Source organism: Homo sapiens, chromosome 4 (assembly GCF_000001405.40).
Source record: "Homo sapiens chromosome 4, GRCh38.p14 Primary Assembly".
NCBI lineage: Eukaryota > Metazoa > Chordata > Mammalia > Primates > Hominidae > Homo > Homo sapiens.
Window position 1 is genome coordinate 81,083,664 of NC_000004.12, and position 17,205 is coordinate 81,100,868.

At 36.9% G+C, this 17,205-nt stretch overlaps 1 protein-coding gene across 10 annotated transcripts in view; it reads right to left on the reverse strand.

Annotated features, from left to right (window-relative positions):
- Nucleotides 1-3,706: 3,706 nt before the first annotated feature.
- The window catches only part of PRKG2 (protein kinase cGMP-dependent 2), a 130,467-nt gene continuing 116,968 nt past the window's right edge, over nt 3,707-17,205 (reverse strand). For 7 of the 10 annotated variants that reach the window (XM_017008415.2, XM_017008416.2, XM_047415963.1 and 4 more), the window contains 2 exons: nt 8,723-8,789; nt 3,707-6,140 (listed from right to left, as the gene is read on the reverse strand). In XM_017008415.2, the coding sequence (XP_016863904.2) occupies nt 6,045-6,140; nt 8,723-8,789 (163 nt within the window). In that variant the 3' untranslated portion in view covers nt 3,707-6,044. The remainder of the gene's footprint in view (nt 6,141-8,722; nt 8,790-17,205) is intronic. The other 3 variants (NM_001282485.2, NM_006259.3, NM_001363401.2) reach the window with 1 other exon arrangement.

Here is a 17,205-nt window from a genome sequence, read left to right on the forward strand (position 1 = left end):
TATTATCACATCATCTTCTGCTTCTTCCCCCAAAATGCATGTCTATTTGTGTTTCCCTTACTGAGGAAGTTTATACTTATCAAAACAAATTTCATGTTACTTTTCATTGTACCACTTTTAATTTAGCAACCAACAATTAAATAAACAAAAATATCCTGGTTTTATGTCTTTCAGAATTGAAAATGCTCCAGCTCTAATTCAGTTTATAGCTTGCTTGTAAATCACTTGAGACAAATTGTTATCACTGATTTTGATTGAGTCACGTGTCCCATGCCCTAAATATATTTCAAAGATTATTGGGTAGAAAGAGGTAAAGCAAATCTCATTACTAAATCAAACTGAATAAATTACATAATAATAATAATACATAATATGTTTTACTAGTTTTAAAACTGAGTGACTTTGTACTGTGTCAATTTAGCTAAGCCAGAAATATGTTTCCCAGAATTCCCTTTTCAGTATGGTTCTGAGTTAGGCCTTTTCACAAGAGAAATTTACATAAGATCTGAAAGGCAGACATGAGAAGCAGCTATATTTGCACTCCAGGGGACAGTATAAGTCCAAGTACTGCTGCAGCTCATACACATTGTCTCATCTGTTGACTCACCTTGTTGGTACAGAGCACAGCCAGGCCTATGGTCTTTCCAGTTCCAGCTAGACTGTTCCTTCAGCATCTTCAAATCCTAAAGCAGGAATATTTTAAAGGTATCAGCTTATCCTGTAGGTCACCTAAATGACCAAGGCTGGCAACCAGGAAAGACAGATGCAAGTTCCAGTTTGTCCTCATGTGTTCCAGTTTGTCACTACAAATTTGTTTTTTCCTCAAGGATTCAACTTTTTTCTCTTCTGTCCATTTTATCCTTCTTCCTCCATTTTATGTCAATCTTCCCTTCCCAAATTAGTAGTTTAAAACAATGCACAATTATTATCTCACACATTCTGTGGACCAGGAACTCCAGAATCATTTGTCTGAGTCCTCTGGTGCATGGGCTGTCACTAGGCTGCAAAATATTGGCTGGGGCAGCAGTTCCATCTAAAGGCTCAACTCAGTGGAGGATCTGCTCTAAGTTCAGGCATGTGATTGTTGACTGGAGTTGGCTCATCATAGGTTGCTGGACTGAGGGCCTCATTTGCTCACTGACTGTTAGCCAGAGCCTCCCTCAGTTATTTGCCACGTTTACTCAAATTGCAGCAGCTGGCTTCCATCAGAGCAAGCAAATGAGAGGGAGAGAGGCTCAGGAGAATATACGCGGAGTCCCCTTGTAACCCAATCTCAGAAGTGACATCCCTTCACTTTGTTTATATTCTGTTTGTTAGAAGGAAGTCACTAGGTTCAGCCAGTACTGGAGAGGAGGGGATTATAAAAGGCCATGACTACCACAAGCAGGGATTGCTGGAAGCTATCTTTGAAGGTGCCCACCACACCCCTTCAAACAATCCTCTGAGGCATCTTGCATGTGTTGTACAGAACTTCTCTCATAAAAAGTAAAACTTCTAAGAATCTTAAGTGCATTTTCTCAGAGCATCTTTAGAGGAAAGATTTGTGACTGGCTATTGTCTAGTGGACTGGATTATGAATTCGTATTTGAAAAATCATGAAGTTTTTAAAAGAAATGTATCAGCTTGAAATAAAGAGGCAGAAACAAGCTGAAAAGAGGCATTTCTACCATCAAATTTTCACCGGCATCAAAGTGGCTAAGATGCCTACTCAGTTGAAAAATCAGCTATATCTTATGGAAGAGGAAGGATGGCTCAGAAGGCAGAACCAAGATTCTAAATGGTGCCACCATGAGCTATGAAGAATGACTCACAGGGAGTAGGAGTGAGTCCTAAGCCAAGAAAAGCTCACGTGTCTGGCCAAATTTCAGGATTACCATAGACTAGTTATTACTTTGTGCCTTCCATTCTCTCCTCCTAATCCAAGTATCTGGTGTGGTCGGCCTTTGCTTTTTACCTCTCAATGTGTGACTGTCCAGGCAGATTACTTATTTACTTATTTCACAGGATTTTAGACTTAAAATAATGTATGGAAGGAATTATACCTGAAGAGTGTCTTCTACACTTAAATTGGATTTAGATGACATGACCCAGGACCATGAGCCAGAGCCTGATAATATTTTTAGGGAGGCTCTTGGGAAGGAATAAATTTGTTTTTCATATGGGAGTAATATAAGTAATGTGTGGCCAGAAAGTGAATTGCGGCAGTTTTAAAATTTGTCCACAAATTCTTTAAAATTCTCTTCATTAGGAAGTTAAGTCTATGTTCTCTCCCCTCAAATCTGGGTGGGCTTTTGTTTCCACCAGCAGAGTGTGGGAGAAGTGATGTTATTTGACTTCCAAAGCTAATTCATAAAGGATAGTATAGCTTCTGCTTTGTTAGCTAGAATAATCACTGTAGGAGCCCCGTGCTGCCACAAGAGAAGTCTGACTAGTTTAAGGATGCCATTATGTGAGGAATCCAAGCTATGGAAAAGGTATGTGTAGGCAACCTGGTCCTAAGTCCTGTCTTTGAGAAGTCCCAGCCAGGTAGCAGATATGTGAGTGAACAAGGCTTCAGGTAATTCTAGCTCCTAGCCACTGAGTCACCGTTAATCTTTGAGTCTTTCCACCTGGTTCCCCAGATATTGTGGTGCAGAGACAAGACATCCTTGTCATGTGTTGTCTGAATTCCTGACCCACGAAATCTAGGAGAGTAACAAAATGGTTGTTCTAAGCAACTAAGTTTTGGGGTAATTTGTTAACAGTTATAACAACTGGGACTAAGCCATGCAAAACCATCAGAGCTAAATTGTGAATAAAATGTATATTTAAATTTGGGTGATGGATACACTGAAAACCAAATCACCACCATTATGCAATATACCCAAGTAACAAACATGCATGTGTGCCCTGAATGTAGAATTTTTAAACATGAGAAAGATATAAAATAGTAATAATAATAATAATAATAATCATCATCATCATCATCATCATCATATTGGAACCCTCAGGTAATTTAAAAATAAAATAAAATGAGCATCTCTTTGTAAAAAAAATGCATATTTAAGGCCAATAAATAAAAAAATTTTGAATAAAGTCAACTATCTGTGTATTTATAATTATTTTAGTATCTTGTGTGAATGACTTAATAGATATAAATACTCCTAGTACAATGCCTAGCAATAAAGAACAAGGATTTGTTATTGTGCCCAAAGAAATATAGATATATACTTATTTTCAAATGTTTATTACGAATGACCTACTAGTAATAATATTCTGGCGCAAGATTTCAAAGCTTTAAATGTATATCTCCAAGTTCCAGAAGAGTAAAGCTGAGGTTTAATGTTCAAGGTTACACAAATCTGGGCAGAGCTGGAATTCAAGCCCAGGTTTTTTTTTTTTCTTGTTCTTCTCTAAATCTCTTACTTTTCACTACTACACTGTCTTTTCTTCAGATGTGTTTATATTTAAAGAAGGCATTAAGAACCTATAATTATGAAAAGTTGGTCCCACTTGGAAGAAGCTCAAGGATGAAAAATTAAGTTTACATCCTAACTAGAGAGATTGGGAATGATTTAATGATTAGGAAAATGATAGGTATGCATATATGAGGGTAATTTTCCATATTTCCCTGTATGTGTGTATCTTTAATTCATAAAAATTAAAATTTAGGTTAACTTAACGAAGCACTTCACTTTAGTGAAGGTTAACCCTTCATCTCATACACCGAAGTTTTTGGTCAATCATTTTTACTTCATGATTTAAAAGAAAAAAAAGACAGATACTGGATTTGATAAGTACAATTCTGCATACAGATACCAATGATACATAAGATTCAGGACTAAATGGTTATTAAGGCCCCTTTAATTTTAATAGAGACAGTAACAGTAGCTCCCGTCTATGCAGCAATGGTTATTTCACAGATACCGGGCAAAAGACTCTCTACATAACTTAATCCCTGAAACAAACCTCTAAGTAAATATTACTTTACTCTGCCTTTTTCTATGAATGAGAAAGCTAGTACTCAAAAAAGCTAAATCACTTTCCCAGAGTCACTCAGTTAGGAAATGGTGGAGTTGGGATTATTCAATGGTTCAGTCTCTCATTTCTTCATCTTTTAAAGTACTCTAAGGAAACAATAAAAAATCACATGGGAGGATAACACATTGACATGGTCAATCACAGGAAAAATAAACCTGTAGTACTCTAACTTGGTTATTTCTATATATGTAGGGTTTTAAAAATTACAACTATTGATCTGCTTTGAGAATATCATTCCTATTATAACTGTATAGTTCTAATATCCACCCAATACATAAATTTTCTATCTTTATAGGTTGGAAATTTAAAAATATATACATGGAAAAACATACAGTACAAACCAACCAAATTCAAATAAAAATCTTTAAAAACTCTTAGAAATTCTTTAAGCAGGTTATGTCAATCCTATTAAAAATGATTATTCTATGTACAATACATAATCTTTAAAAATACAGCTCCAGGAAACAAAAACTCTTTGGTTCAGCAAAAGGATTATAAATGTGGAAATCTAATTTGTTAAGGATGCACCTTTCTGGATTGGGCTTCACTTATCTAGCTTAACTCATTAAGGAAGCATATAGCTGGCTTTTTTCTGGATGATGAAATTATGAGTGGGGACTGGGTAGAGGTTCCTTTTGACATAGAACATTAACATATGAAAATATAACCAGAAGCTTGAATAATCCCGGAACTTATACAGTATTTTTACTCTGCTAGATTTAAAAAATACAGAAAAGTCTCTGCTTCTCATTCATTTTGGAAGGAGGGTAAGGGAATGATCATGGTCAATACATACAACCATTCACCAGTGAAGTTCTTAGGTACTAGGTCCCATGCTATTGAAACTATCCTACTTATTATTTGGGAGAGTGCAAGGAAGGGATAGGAGGGATGCTGTTGTCCCTTTTACTTCTGAAATCCTATCACTTTTCTGGTGGCTTGCCTGTCTTAACAATCTAAATTTATAAACACATCCATGACTCAGATGTCTTTAAAAAGCGCTATTAACTCAGCAGTGACTACAGTGCATCAACATTTGTCAATGGGATTTATATTAAAAATTAACGATGATTCTATACAATTTTGGTTTATTAATAGCAACTATCACAGAATTTTTCAAAATACCTCAGATTTTCAAAGAGTCAGCAGTCTTACCTACTAGAATATATTTTCCTTTCTATTTACTGGGAGGCAAAAGCCTTCGCAATTTTGTTCCAGCACGTTTTCTACTCTGGTTGTGAAAATATTTTAGCATCATTTAACCACACATTGTAACTATCTTTAACAAGGACTTTCGAAAAGTCTCTAAGGTATCACTGATCATAAAGGAGAGAAAATATTTCTTGCTTTACTTTTTTTTCTAAGTTCCCCAATAGAAAATAATTACCTGACTGGATTGATTGATTCAGTTACTTTAGGAAATGGTGCCACTGACTATTGCTCAATCTTGCCTCTCCCTGGACTCATGTCAGAGGCGTATTAATATATTTTCAGGTTAAAAGCAGGTGAAAGTCAGGAGGTTCTGTTGGCTACCATGGTTTCTGCAAACCACCATTTTAAGATACCACCATGCTTATATGAAGTTGCTGAGAGCTGGGGAGCTCTCCAAAATTCACCATTGTTTTTCCTTCTATTTGTATGACTTAGTTATTCAAGGGCAAGACCCTTTTTAAACGTTAGTAGTACTCAAACGAGAAGGATATGATTGGAATGGAACAATAGATTGCAGAAAAAACTGCCACTTTAACAAAAATGGCTCTGATTGTGGAAAGGAAAATGGGGTAGCCTCTAGCAGTTGAGAAAAGCAAATAATGTAATACATCAATAATTCACAGCATCTAAATAAGACACTATAACTCAGAACCATATCCACACCATTCTCCTCTTCCCATTGTGCAGGAATTTCTTTTCCCTAATGGTCTTCCAAAGATATTATAATACTCTGAAAAGAAAATAATGTGTTGGATTATTGATCCTTGAGGTCCTCTTCTGTAGAGTACAGGCAGTAATCAACTTTTCTTCTGTCAGAAGTCTTTATCCCAGCCTGATAGCTCATCTGGAGGCATTCCCTTTTCAGGAGGATATTTGTCAAAGTAGCTGTGATCTATGGGTCCCTTGAGCTAATATAGAAATAATTAAAACAAAAGGAAGAATAATGTTGACCAAGCATGCTATCACATATGGGTAATGTTTTTTATTTCAGAACACTGATTTCATACTGCAGCCACTTGGAAGTTACATACAAGAAAAAAATGACCAATTATCATTCTTGAGTCCTAGTCTCAGCCTCATGAGATCTTCTCTTTACAACCAAATAGATTTGGTCACCAGATAACATTCAATAGTAACTACCTGGCATGAAGAGTTTTCCTAAAGAAAAAGTTCAGAAATAGGCCAGGCGCTGTGGCTCACGCCTGTAATCCCAGCACTTTGGGAGGCCAAGACAAGCAGATCACCTGAAGTCAGGAGTTCGAGACCAGCCTGGCCAATGTGGTGAAACTCCATCTCTATTAAAAATACAAAAATTAGTTTGGCATGGTGGCACACACCTGTGATCCCATCTACTTTGGAGGCTGAGGCAGGAGAATCACTTGAACCTGAGAGGTGAAGGTTGCAGTGAGCTGAGATCACACCACTGCACTCCAGCCTGGGTAACAGAGTGAGACTTTCTCTCAAAAAAAAAAAATAAGTGACAGAAATGATGTCTATTTATTTTTTTAATTGAAAACTCTTTTAAAATCAAAATCTGCTAGCGTTCTTCTTCCATTATATAAGTTTCTCACCAATCCTGAAATTTTTATGGTTAATTGATCCATATAAAGTATTCAGAATGCCAAAAAAGGAACAATTCAAAATATTAGTGACCCTGTTGAGAGAGTGAAATTATGCTGGTATTAAATTATTTCACAAATAAAATGATTTCTAACTCTGCTTTCAAACAAATGTAAGTAATGCCTAACTGAATGATCAGCTGAAAAATCATTAAAAATATTATTTATGATAGATCATAATGTGGTGGAGGAACAGAGCTAGAGATCATTCAGAAGGAGCTCAAAGTGACATCGCTGTAATAAAACCTTCCATTCCCACTTATATATGTGAGAACACAATTCTTAGAATTTGTATCTGCATAACAATCATTTTAAAAAGGAATAGAATTGATGCTGAATCTGATCCCATTCTTCTAATAAATAATATCTATCCATAGATACATGAAATAATTTCTTCTCAAAAAATGTTTATTTAATAATTACCATTAGATATTCATAATATATTTATGCCATTTGACACTGCATGCCATAAAAATGTAATTATAACAGAATTCAGAAGAAATACTGGTGTTATCACAAATTTTAAATCTAAAATTCGAAGGCATTTAAAGAATGATCAAGAAAGATTGTCAAGCATAGAAGCATTTTACATTAGGATGAAATCTTATAGGGAACATAGAATGAAAATATGATGATATGATGAAAAGGAGTGATACAATATTTCTGCCCAAACTTTATAAGTGGCAGATAGGTATTAAATCTCAATGGTATTTAGATTATAGTAGACATGTTTAAAGGAATGAAGTAACAGTAGTGTTTTTATTATTATTATTATTATTATTTTTTGAGACGGAGTCTTGCTCTGTCATCCAGGCTGGAGTGCAGTGGCGTGATCTCGGCTCACTGCAAGCTCCACCTCCTGAGTTCACGCCATTCTCCTGCCTCAGCCTCCTGAGTAGCTGGGATGACAGGTGCCCGCCACCATGCCCGGCTAATTTTTTTTTATTTTTAGTAGAGACAGGGTTTCACCATGTTAGCCAGGATGGTCTCGATCTCCTGACCTCGTGATCCGCCCGCCTCGGCCTCCTAAAGTGCTAGGATTACAGGCGTGAGCCACCATGCCTGGCCTAGTGTTTTATTTTAAAATGTCAATATTTACAACATACTGGAAATCATATTCTCCACAACTACACTTTGATGAAAAAAAGTCAGATAGCAATCTACCAATGTATAAGAGGAAATATAGATCTTTGCAATCTTTTGGAAAAAACACTAACATAAACTTAGTAGTATGTTGACCTAGATCATTCCTGAGTCATTCTTCCTCCCATGTTAGCTGAAGTTCTGCTGCCTCTAGAGCTGCACTATCCAATAACAAAACCATTAGCAACACGAAGTGACTGAGCACTTGAAATGTCGCTCTTCTGAACTGAGATGTGCTGTAACAGTAAAATTCACTTGGGATTTAGAAAATTTATTATGGAAAAATAAACATAACCTATCTCACTAATATTTTATATTGATTACATATTGAAATAATATTTTGGAGGTATTATGATAATTAAAATTATTTTCACCTTTTTTTTCACCTTTTTAAAATGGCTATTAGAAAATCTTAAGTTACATACATTGTTCACATCAAATTTATACAGTCATTTGTCAGCCTGAACAACACTGACTACTTTGGGACTTAAGTGGCACTGACATGTATTTGGTTCTTGACAGGTAAGTTAATATCCATCAGCTAGGCAGTACTATTTAGTCCCTATAATCACAATTATAAGACAAACTCACTTAAATTAAAATAAAAACTGCTTTAAAAAAAAACACCCAAAATCTGTTATGGGCATATACATACACACATCTAAAATCTGTGTACAAAAACAAATCCCTGGGAAAAAAATAAAAAAGTAATATAATAAATACAATACCTCTCTTTGCAAAGGTGATGGAAGGCTCCGTGCTTTCAGTCCCTCCCAATTAAAACCATTTAACCACCTGAGAAATGAGAAAGGAAGGAAGGAAGGAAGGAAGGAAGGAAGGAAGGAAGGAAGGAAGGGAGAAAGAAAGAGACGACAAAAAGGAATATTACTTGGATGATAAACTATTAGCATGTCAAGTTATCTGTCATGGCTTTAAATAGCACTTATATGCTAATTATTCCCAAATTTCTATTTCCAACCAAGACCCCTCCATCAGCTTACAGGCTAAGGTCTACAATTCTTATTCATCTTCTCACTATTAGATGTCTAATAGGCATCTGGCATGTATCATGTCTGAACAGAAGCTTAAAATGTTCTCCACCAACCTCATCTCAATTCTTCCAGTTGCTCAAACCAAAGCTCTTGTAGTTGTTCTTTGCCTTATATCCTATCTGAGTCCATGATCAAATCCTGTCAGTGCTAGCTTCACATTCTATCTATATTCAGTATCTGGCCAGTCTTCAATACCTTCACTCTACTAGCAAGGAACCAGCCGTACTTTTGTGCTGGAGATAACTTAGCAGCAAGACTGGTCGTTTATAGCATAAGTCAGGTCACAACATGCCTCGGTTCAATACTTCCCCACCTTTTCCATCTTACTCAGTGTAAAAGGCAAAGTCTGTTCCATGTCTTTGCTGTAACCTATAAGGCTTTATAGAATCATTGTTTCTACCACCATCCTTCCATTACCTTACCACTGTATTACTTTTCTCTTTCTTTCTCCCTTAACTCATTTATCTTCTCACTATTCTCCTAACCAACTAGGGTTGTTCCCACTTTAAGGCCTTTGTACTCAAGGCTGGATTGTTCTTTCTCTAGATTTCCATGTCTTATTCTCTCAACACCTTCATGTCTTTTCTCAAAGTTCATCTCAGTGAGATCTTCCTTGGCCATCCAATCTAAAATTGAAACTCTCCCCCACCAACACACACACACACACACACACACACACACACACACACACACACAAGCTTCTTATCCTCCTTCCCTACTTTATCTTACCCCCTTAGCATCTATAGCTATCTAACATACTACTTGACTTAGTTATCATGTTTACTTTCTATCTCCCCACTAGAAAGCAAGCTCCATGAGGGCAGAGATTTTTATCTATTTCCTTTTCTCTGTGCCCCAGCACTTGGAGTAGTGCTTGATATGGGACAGGGGCTCAATAAATTTTTGTTGAGTGATTGAATGACTCTGCAAAGAAACACACTTAAGCAGAAAAAGTATTTTACAGTAATCTGTGAAAATATGGGATTAAGAGGAAGTTCTTTCATCATTGCTTATGCATCACTCATCTAAAAGGGCTGATCTGATCTTCATATATTTCAAGTATATATTTCAAGCTTGATGGTCTAGAAATATAACACCAGGAGTCAGGAGGCCTCATTTCTCTTGAATAGAAACAATCTACTCTGTCTCTCAGGATCTTATAATAAGAACATGAAATCATGCTGTTCTATAGCCACTGATCTTTTCTACTGGCACACTGAGGTCAGCTCAGCCAGCCAACCGATATTTATGGAAAGTCAGCTTGGTCTCAGGCATCAAAAAATGGCCCTGATAGACTTGCTTGATGCAGGGTTATCACAAACCTTCAATTTGTAAAAGATAAAATATCTGCAAGGTGCAGTAAGTAAAGCAAAGTGCGATCAAATAAGGTATGCCTGTAACTGAAACAAATGTTTCCTCTTCCTGTCAGGAAAGATTTAGTTGTACCCTACAAGTATATCAGCCTTCTTTTAAGGTAGGTGTTGGGAGACATGACTGGTGCCTAGTTTTAAATTAGCTCTTACATACAAGATACCAGAGCTCTGTAGCTATTTTTGGGAAAGATTATTTAATATAGAATGGACAGATACATACAACTGTATTGTTTTTAAATACAAAATTAAAGTGACTAGTTCTCTAAGAAAAAAAAAAGTTTTACTTTAGAAGGGACTAAGAAAATCTGATGCCAAACTTTAGAAGAAATTTGTTTGTTTGTTTGTTTGTTTTTTAATTCTAAGAATATACTGAGTAGAGAAGCTACACAGCTTAAAGACTTGTGGAAGGTTTTAAGATGTTTTTGTTTTGCTGGGAGGTGACAGAAAAAAGTCAAGTAAACAATATAAATTATTAAATTAATTTCAGACAGTAGTAAGTACAAGGAAGATAAAAGAGAATAAAGTGGTAGATGATGTCGGGAATAGGAACAGGTTGGGAAGGGCTGCTTATAGCTAGGGAAGTATTTGAAAAAGTGATATTTGAAAGAGCCAGAATGAAGAGAAGGGGGAACCATGGGAGGATCTGTGGCAAAGCCCTTCCAGATGGAAGGAATGAGCTGAAGTGTAGTGAATGCAGAGGAAACTAGAAAAAAAAAATGATGTCTGAGAAAGAGCCAGAGGCTAGATCACGTACAGCTTTGCAGGCACAGTAAGGAATCAAGATTTCTACGTGTAGTGAAAGAATCAGAAAGCTCTAAGTAAATGACACCAGCTACTTTTCAAAAGATACTTCTGGCTGCTTTAGAGATAAAGAAAGACCACAGGGGCCAGAATGGGATGGTGATGCGTCCCTGTGATTAAAGGCAGGGAGACTTTCAGAAGGCTGTCACATTGCTCTGTCTGTTGGCCATACCAGAAGTTAGGATCTTCCACCTTTCTCACTCTCTTCTCATCCCCAGACTTGGGTTTGGTTTAGTGCTTGACTGGATTTCCTATTACAAGTCTAAGCTTAGCAATAGAAAAGGAACGAAAAACAGAGAGCAGACACTAGTGCATTCCATTTCAGATGCTATTCTAAACCAAAATATCATTTTGCCATAAGCTGCTGAAACTCCAGTCAAAAAGTGAGAGTCAGACAGCAACCCAGCTGTTTTATATCCCTCCTCTGCCCTTGCTGTAAAACCACAGAAGTCCTCTCTTTGTTCTACCCATTGCTTTTTTGCATAGACTGAGCCTCCACTTTTAGGGATTTCTAGGTACACAGTTCTATGGATTCTTTTCTTTTGTCACCAAATATGGCAACAATTCCTTTTAACATATTTTACAATGCTCTCTACCCCGAGGTGCCTCATAAATATTAATAAAAATCATTACCATCACTCTACTGAATCAAACAGCCCATGTGTTGCTTACAGAGTACTTGTTACAATCTGACTTATCACAGTACTTACTTAACATGCATGGCTATTCACTTAACACATGGCCTTTTGACACTAACCACATTTTAAGTAATGCAAGCGCCAGCATGCAGTGGTGTGTAAAAAATATTCACCAGAGAAATATTAGCAGCAACAGCACATAAACTGCTTCTTCATTTCAGAAGACTCATAGAGTCTATTCTTGAAAGTAATTTCAAAGACTAGAAATATCAAAAACAATGTTAAAATACAGGCATACCTTGGAGATATTGAAGGTTCAGATCCAAACCACTGTAATAAGGCAAGTCACACAAATTTTGGAGTTCCCAGTGCATATAAAAGTTATGTTTAAACTAAACTGCAGTGTATTAAGTGTACAACCGCATTATGTCTAAAAATGTACATAATTTTAAAATACTTTATTGCTAAAAATGCTAACAATCATCTGAGCCTTCAATGAATCATAGTCTTTTTGCTATGGTCAAAAAGGTGGAAGGTCATGCCTTGGTGTTGATGGCTGCTGACTGACAAGGGCAGGGGTCGCTGAAGGTTGGAGAGGCTGTGGTAATTTCTTAAAATAAGACAATGATAAAGTTTGCTGTATTGATTAACTTTTCATTTCATAAAAGTTCTCTATAGTATGTGATACTGTTTGATAGCATTTTATGCAGAGTAGAACTTCTTTTAAAACTGAGGTTAGGCTGGGCATAGTGGCTCATGCCTACAATCCTAGCACTTTGGGAGGCTAATGTGGGAGGATCTCTTGAGGCCAGGAGTTTGGGTAACATGGCAAGACACCCATCTCTACAAAAAAAATGTTAAAAAATTATCCAGACATGGTGGCATGCACCCATAGTTCCAGCTACTCAGGAGGCTAAGGCAGGAAGATCACTTGAGCCCAGGAATTCAAGGCTGCAGTAAGCCCTAATCACACCACTGCACTCCAGCCTGGGTGACAGTGAGACTCTAAAATAAATAAATAATCAAATAAATAAATAAATTGAGGTCAATTCTTTCAAACCCTGCTACTACATTATCAACTAAGTAAGTTTATGTAATATTTAAATCCTTTGTTGTCATTTCAACAATATTCACAGCATCTTTGCCAGAAGTAGATTAGATTTCAAGAAACCACTTTCTTTGCTCATCCATAAGAAGCAACTCCTCATCTGTTCAAGTTTCATCATTAGATTGCAACATTCAGTTGTATGTTCAGGCTTCAATTCAAATTCTAGTTCTATTGATATTTCTAACACATCTGCATTTACTTTCTCCAATTAAGTCTTCAACTTCCCAAAGCCATTTATGAGCGTTAGGATCAACTTTTTCCAGACTCCTATTGATGTTGCTATTTTAACCTCCTCTGATAAATCACAAATGTTTATAATGGCATTTAGAATGGTGAATTCTTTACAGAAGGTTTTCAACTCACTTTGCCCAGAGCCATCAAAGGAATCACTATGGCAGCTATAGCCTTACAAAATGTATTTCTCAATAACAAGACTTTAAATTCATCAAAATTATTCCTTGAGGTTTAGGCTGCAGTGAGCCATGTTTGTGCCACTGCACTCCAGCCTGGGTAACAGAATGAGACCCTCAAAAACATTAAAATTAAAAATAAATACTCCTTGGTTCCTGGGCTGCAGAATGGATGTTAACAGCCATGAAAATATATTAATCTCCTTGTACATTTCCATCAGAGCTCTTTGGTGACTAGGTGCATTGTCAATGAACAGTAATATTTGAAAGAAATATTTTATTCCGAGCAGGAGGTCTCAAGAGTAGGCTTAAAATATTCAGTAAACCATTCTGTAAACAGATATGGTGTCATTCAGGCTTTGTTCAATTTATAAAGCACCGGCAGAGTAGATTTAGCATCATTCTTAAGGGCCTTAGGATTTTTAGAATGGCAAATGAGCATTGACTTCAAGTCACCAGCTGTATTCCTAATAAGAGAGTTAATCTGTTCTTCGGAGCTTTGAAGCTAGATATTAGCTTCTCCTCTCTAGCTAGGAAAATCCTAGACAGTATCTTCTTTCAATGTAAGGCAATTTATTCTTCACTGAAAATCTGTTGTTTATGTAGACACTTTCATCAGTGATCTTAGCTGAATCTTCTGGATAACTTGCTGGAGCTTCTATATCAGCACTTGCTTCTTCACCTTGCCCTTTTAAGTTATGGAGATGGCTTTTTTTCTTAAACTTCATGAACCAATTTCTGACAGCTTCTGACTTTTCTTCTTCAGCTACCTCACCTCTCTCAGCCTTCATAGAGTTGACTAGGGTTAGAATTTTGCTCTGGATTAGACTTTGGGTTAAAGAAATGTTGTGTCTGGTTTGATCTCTGTAAAGACTACTAAAATTTGTTCCATATCAGCAATAAGCCAGTTTTGCTTTCTTACCATGTGCATTGTGATGGTTAATAATGAGAGGCAAGTTGATTGGATTGAAGTACTGATCTTGGGTGTGTTTGTGAAGGTGTTGCCAAAAGAGATTAACATTTGTGTTAGTGGGCTGGGAAAGGCAGACCCACCCGTAATCTCAGTGGGCACAACCTAATTAGCTGCCAGTGCGGCTAGAATATAAGCAGGCAGAAAAATGTGAAAAGAGAGACTGGCCTAGCCTCCCAGTCTACATCTTTCTCCTGTACTGGATGCTTCTTGCCCTCGAACATCGGACTCGAAGTTCTTCAGTTTTGGAACTCAGACTGCTCTCCTTGCTCCTCAGCCTGCAGCCTATTGTGGGACCTTGTGATCGTGTGAGTTAATAAACTCCCTTTTATATATCTATTCCATTAGTTCTATACCTCTATAGAACCCTGAATAATACATGTGTGTTCACTGGAGTAACACCTTTAATTTCCTTCAAGAAACTTTCCTTTGGATTCAAAACTTGACTAATTGGCACAGGAGGCCTAGCTTTCAGTCTATCTCAGCTTTTGATATGCCTTCTTCACTAAGCTTAATAATTTCTAGCTTTTTATTTAAAGTGAGAGACTTGAGACTGTTTCTTTTACTTCAATACTTAGAGGCCATTGTAGGGTTATTAATTGGCCTGATTTCAATACTGTTGTGTCTCAGGAAATAGGGAGGTCTGAGTAGAGGGAGAGATGGGAAAATGGGCCATCGATAAAGTCATCAGAACACACAACATATATCGATGAAGTTTGGCATCTTATATGGCTGCGGTTTGTGGTGCCATCAAAATTACAATACTAACATCAAAGATCAATGATCACAGATCACTATAATAGATATAAAAATAATGAAAAGTGTAAAATATTGTAAGAATTACCAAAATGTAACACAGACACACAAAGTGAGCAAATGTTGTTGGAAAAATGGCCCTGATAGACTTGCTTGATGCAGGGTTATCACAAACCTTCAATTGGTAAAAAATAAAATATCTGCAAGGTGCAGTAAGTAAAGCAAAGTGGGATAAAACAAGGTATGCCTGAACCTGAAACAAATGTTTCCTCTTCCTGTCAGGAAAGATGTCATTGTACCTTACAAGTATATCAGCCTTCTTTTGAGATAGGTGTTGGGAGACATGACTGGTGCCTAGTTTTAAATTAGCTCTTAGACACAAGATAGCAGAGCTCTGTAGCTATTTCTGAGAAAGATTATTTAATATAGAATGGACAGATAGATACAACTGTATTGTTTTAAAATACCAAAGCCTGGCAGAGACACAACAACAAAAAAGAGAATTTTAGACCAATATCCTTGATGAACATTGATGCAAAAATCCTCAATAAAATACTGGCAAACCGAATCCAGCAGCACATCAAAAAGCTTATCCACCATGATCAAGTGGGCTTCATCCCTGGGATGCAAGGCTGGTTCAATATACGCAAATCAATAAACATAATCCAGCATATAAACAGAACCAAGGACAAAAACCACTTGATTATCTCAATAGATGCAGAAAAGGCCTTTGACAAAATTCAACAACGCTTCATGCTAAAAACTCTCAATAAATGAGGTATTGATGGGACGTATCTCAAAATAATAAGAGCTATCTATGACAAACCCACAGCCAATATCATACTGAATGGGCAAAAACTGGAAGCATTCCCTCTGAAAACTGGCACAAGACAGGGATGCCCTCTCTCACCACTCCTATTCAACATAGTGTTGGAAGTTCTGGCCAGGGCAATCAGGCAGGAGAAGGAAATAAAGGGTATTCAATTAGGAAAAGAGGAAGTCAAATTGTCCCTGTTTGCAGATGACATGATTGTGTATCTAGGAAACCCCACTGTCTCAGCCCAAAATCTCCTTAAGCTCATAGGCAACTTCAGCAAAGTCTCAGGATACAAAATCAATGTGCAAAAATCACAAGCATTCTTAAACACCAATAACAGACAAAAAGAGAGCCAAATCATGAGTGAACTCCCATTCACAATTGCTTCAAAGAGAATAAAATACCCAGGAATCCAACTTACAAGGCATGTGAAGAACCTCTTCAAGGAGAACTACAAACCACTGCTCGATGAAATAAAAGAGGATACAAACAAATGGAAGAACATTCCATGCTCATTGGTAGGAAGAATCAATATCGTGAAAATGGCCATACTGCCCAAGGTAATTTATAGATTCAATGCCATCTCCATCAAGCTACCAATGACTTTCTTCACAAAATTGGAAAAAACTACTTTAAAGTTCATATGGAACCAAAAAAGAGCCCGGATTGCCAAGTCAATCCTAAGCCAAAAGAACAAAGGTGGAGGCATCACGCTACCTGACTTCAAACTATACTACAAGGCTACAGTAACAAAAACAGCATGTTACTGGTACCAAAACAGAGATGCAGACCAATGGAACAGAACAGAGCCCTCAGAAATAATGCCGCACATCTACAACCATCTGATCTTTGACAAACCTGACAAAAACAAGAAATGGGGAAACGATTCTCTATTTAATAAATGGTGCTGGGAAAACTGGCTAGCCATATGTAGAAAGCTGAAACTGGATCCCTTCCTTACACCTTATACAAAAATTAATTCAAGATGGATTAAAGACTTAAACGTTAGACCTAGAACCATAAAAACCCTAGAAGAAAAATTCTAGGCAATACCATTCAGGACATAGGCGTGGGCAAGGACTTCATGTCTAAAACACCAAAAGCAATGGCAACAAAAGCCAAAATTGACAAATGAGATCTAATTAAACTAAAGAGCTTCTGCACAGCAAAAGAAACTACCATCAGAGTGAACAGGCAACCTACAGAATGGGAGAACATTTCTGCAATCTACTCATCTGACAAAGGGCTAATATCCAGAATCTACAATGAACTCAAACAAATTTACA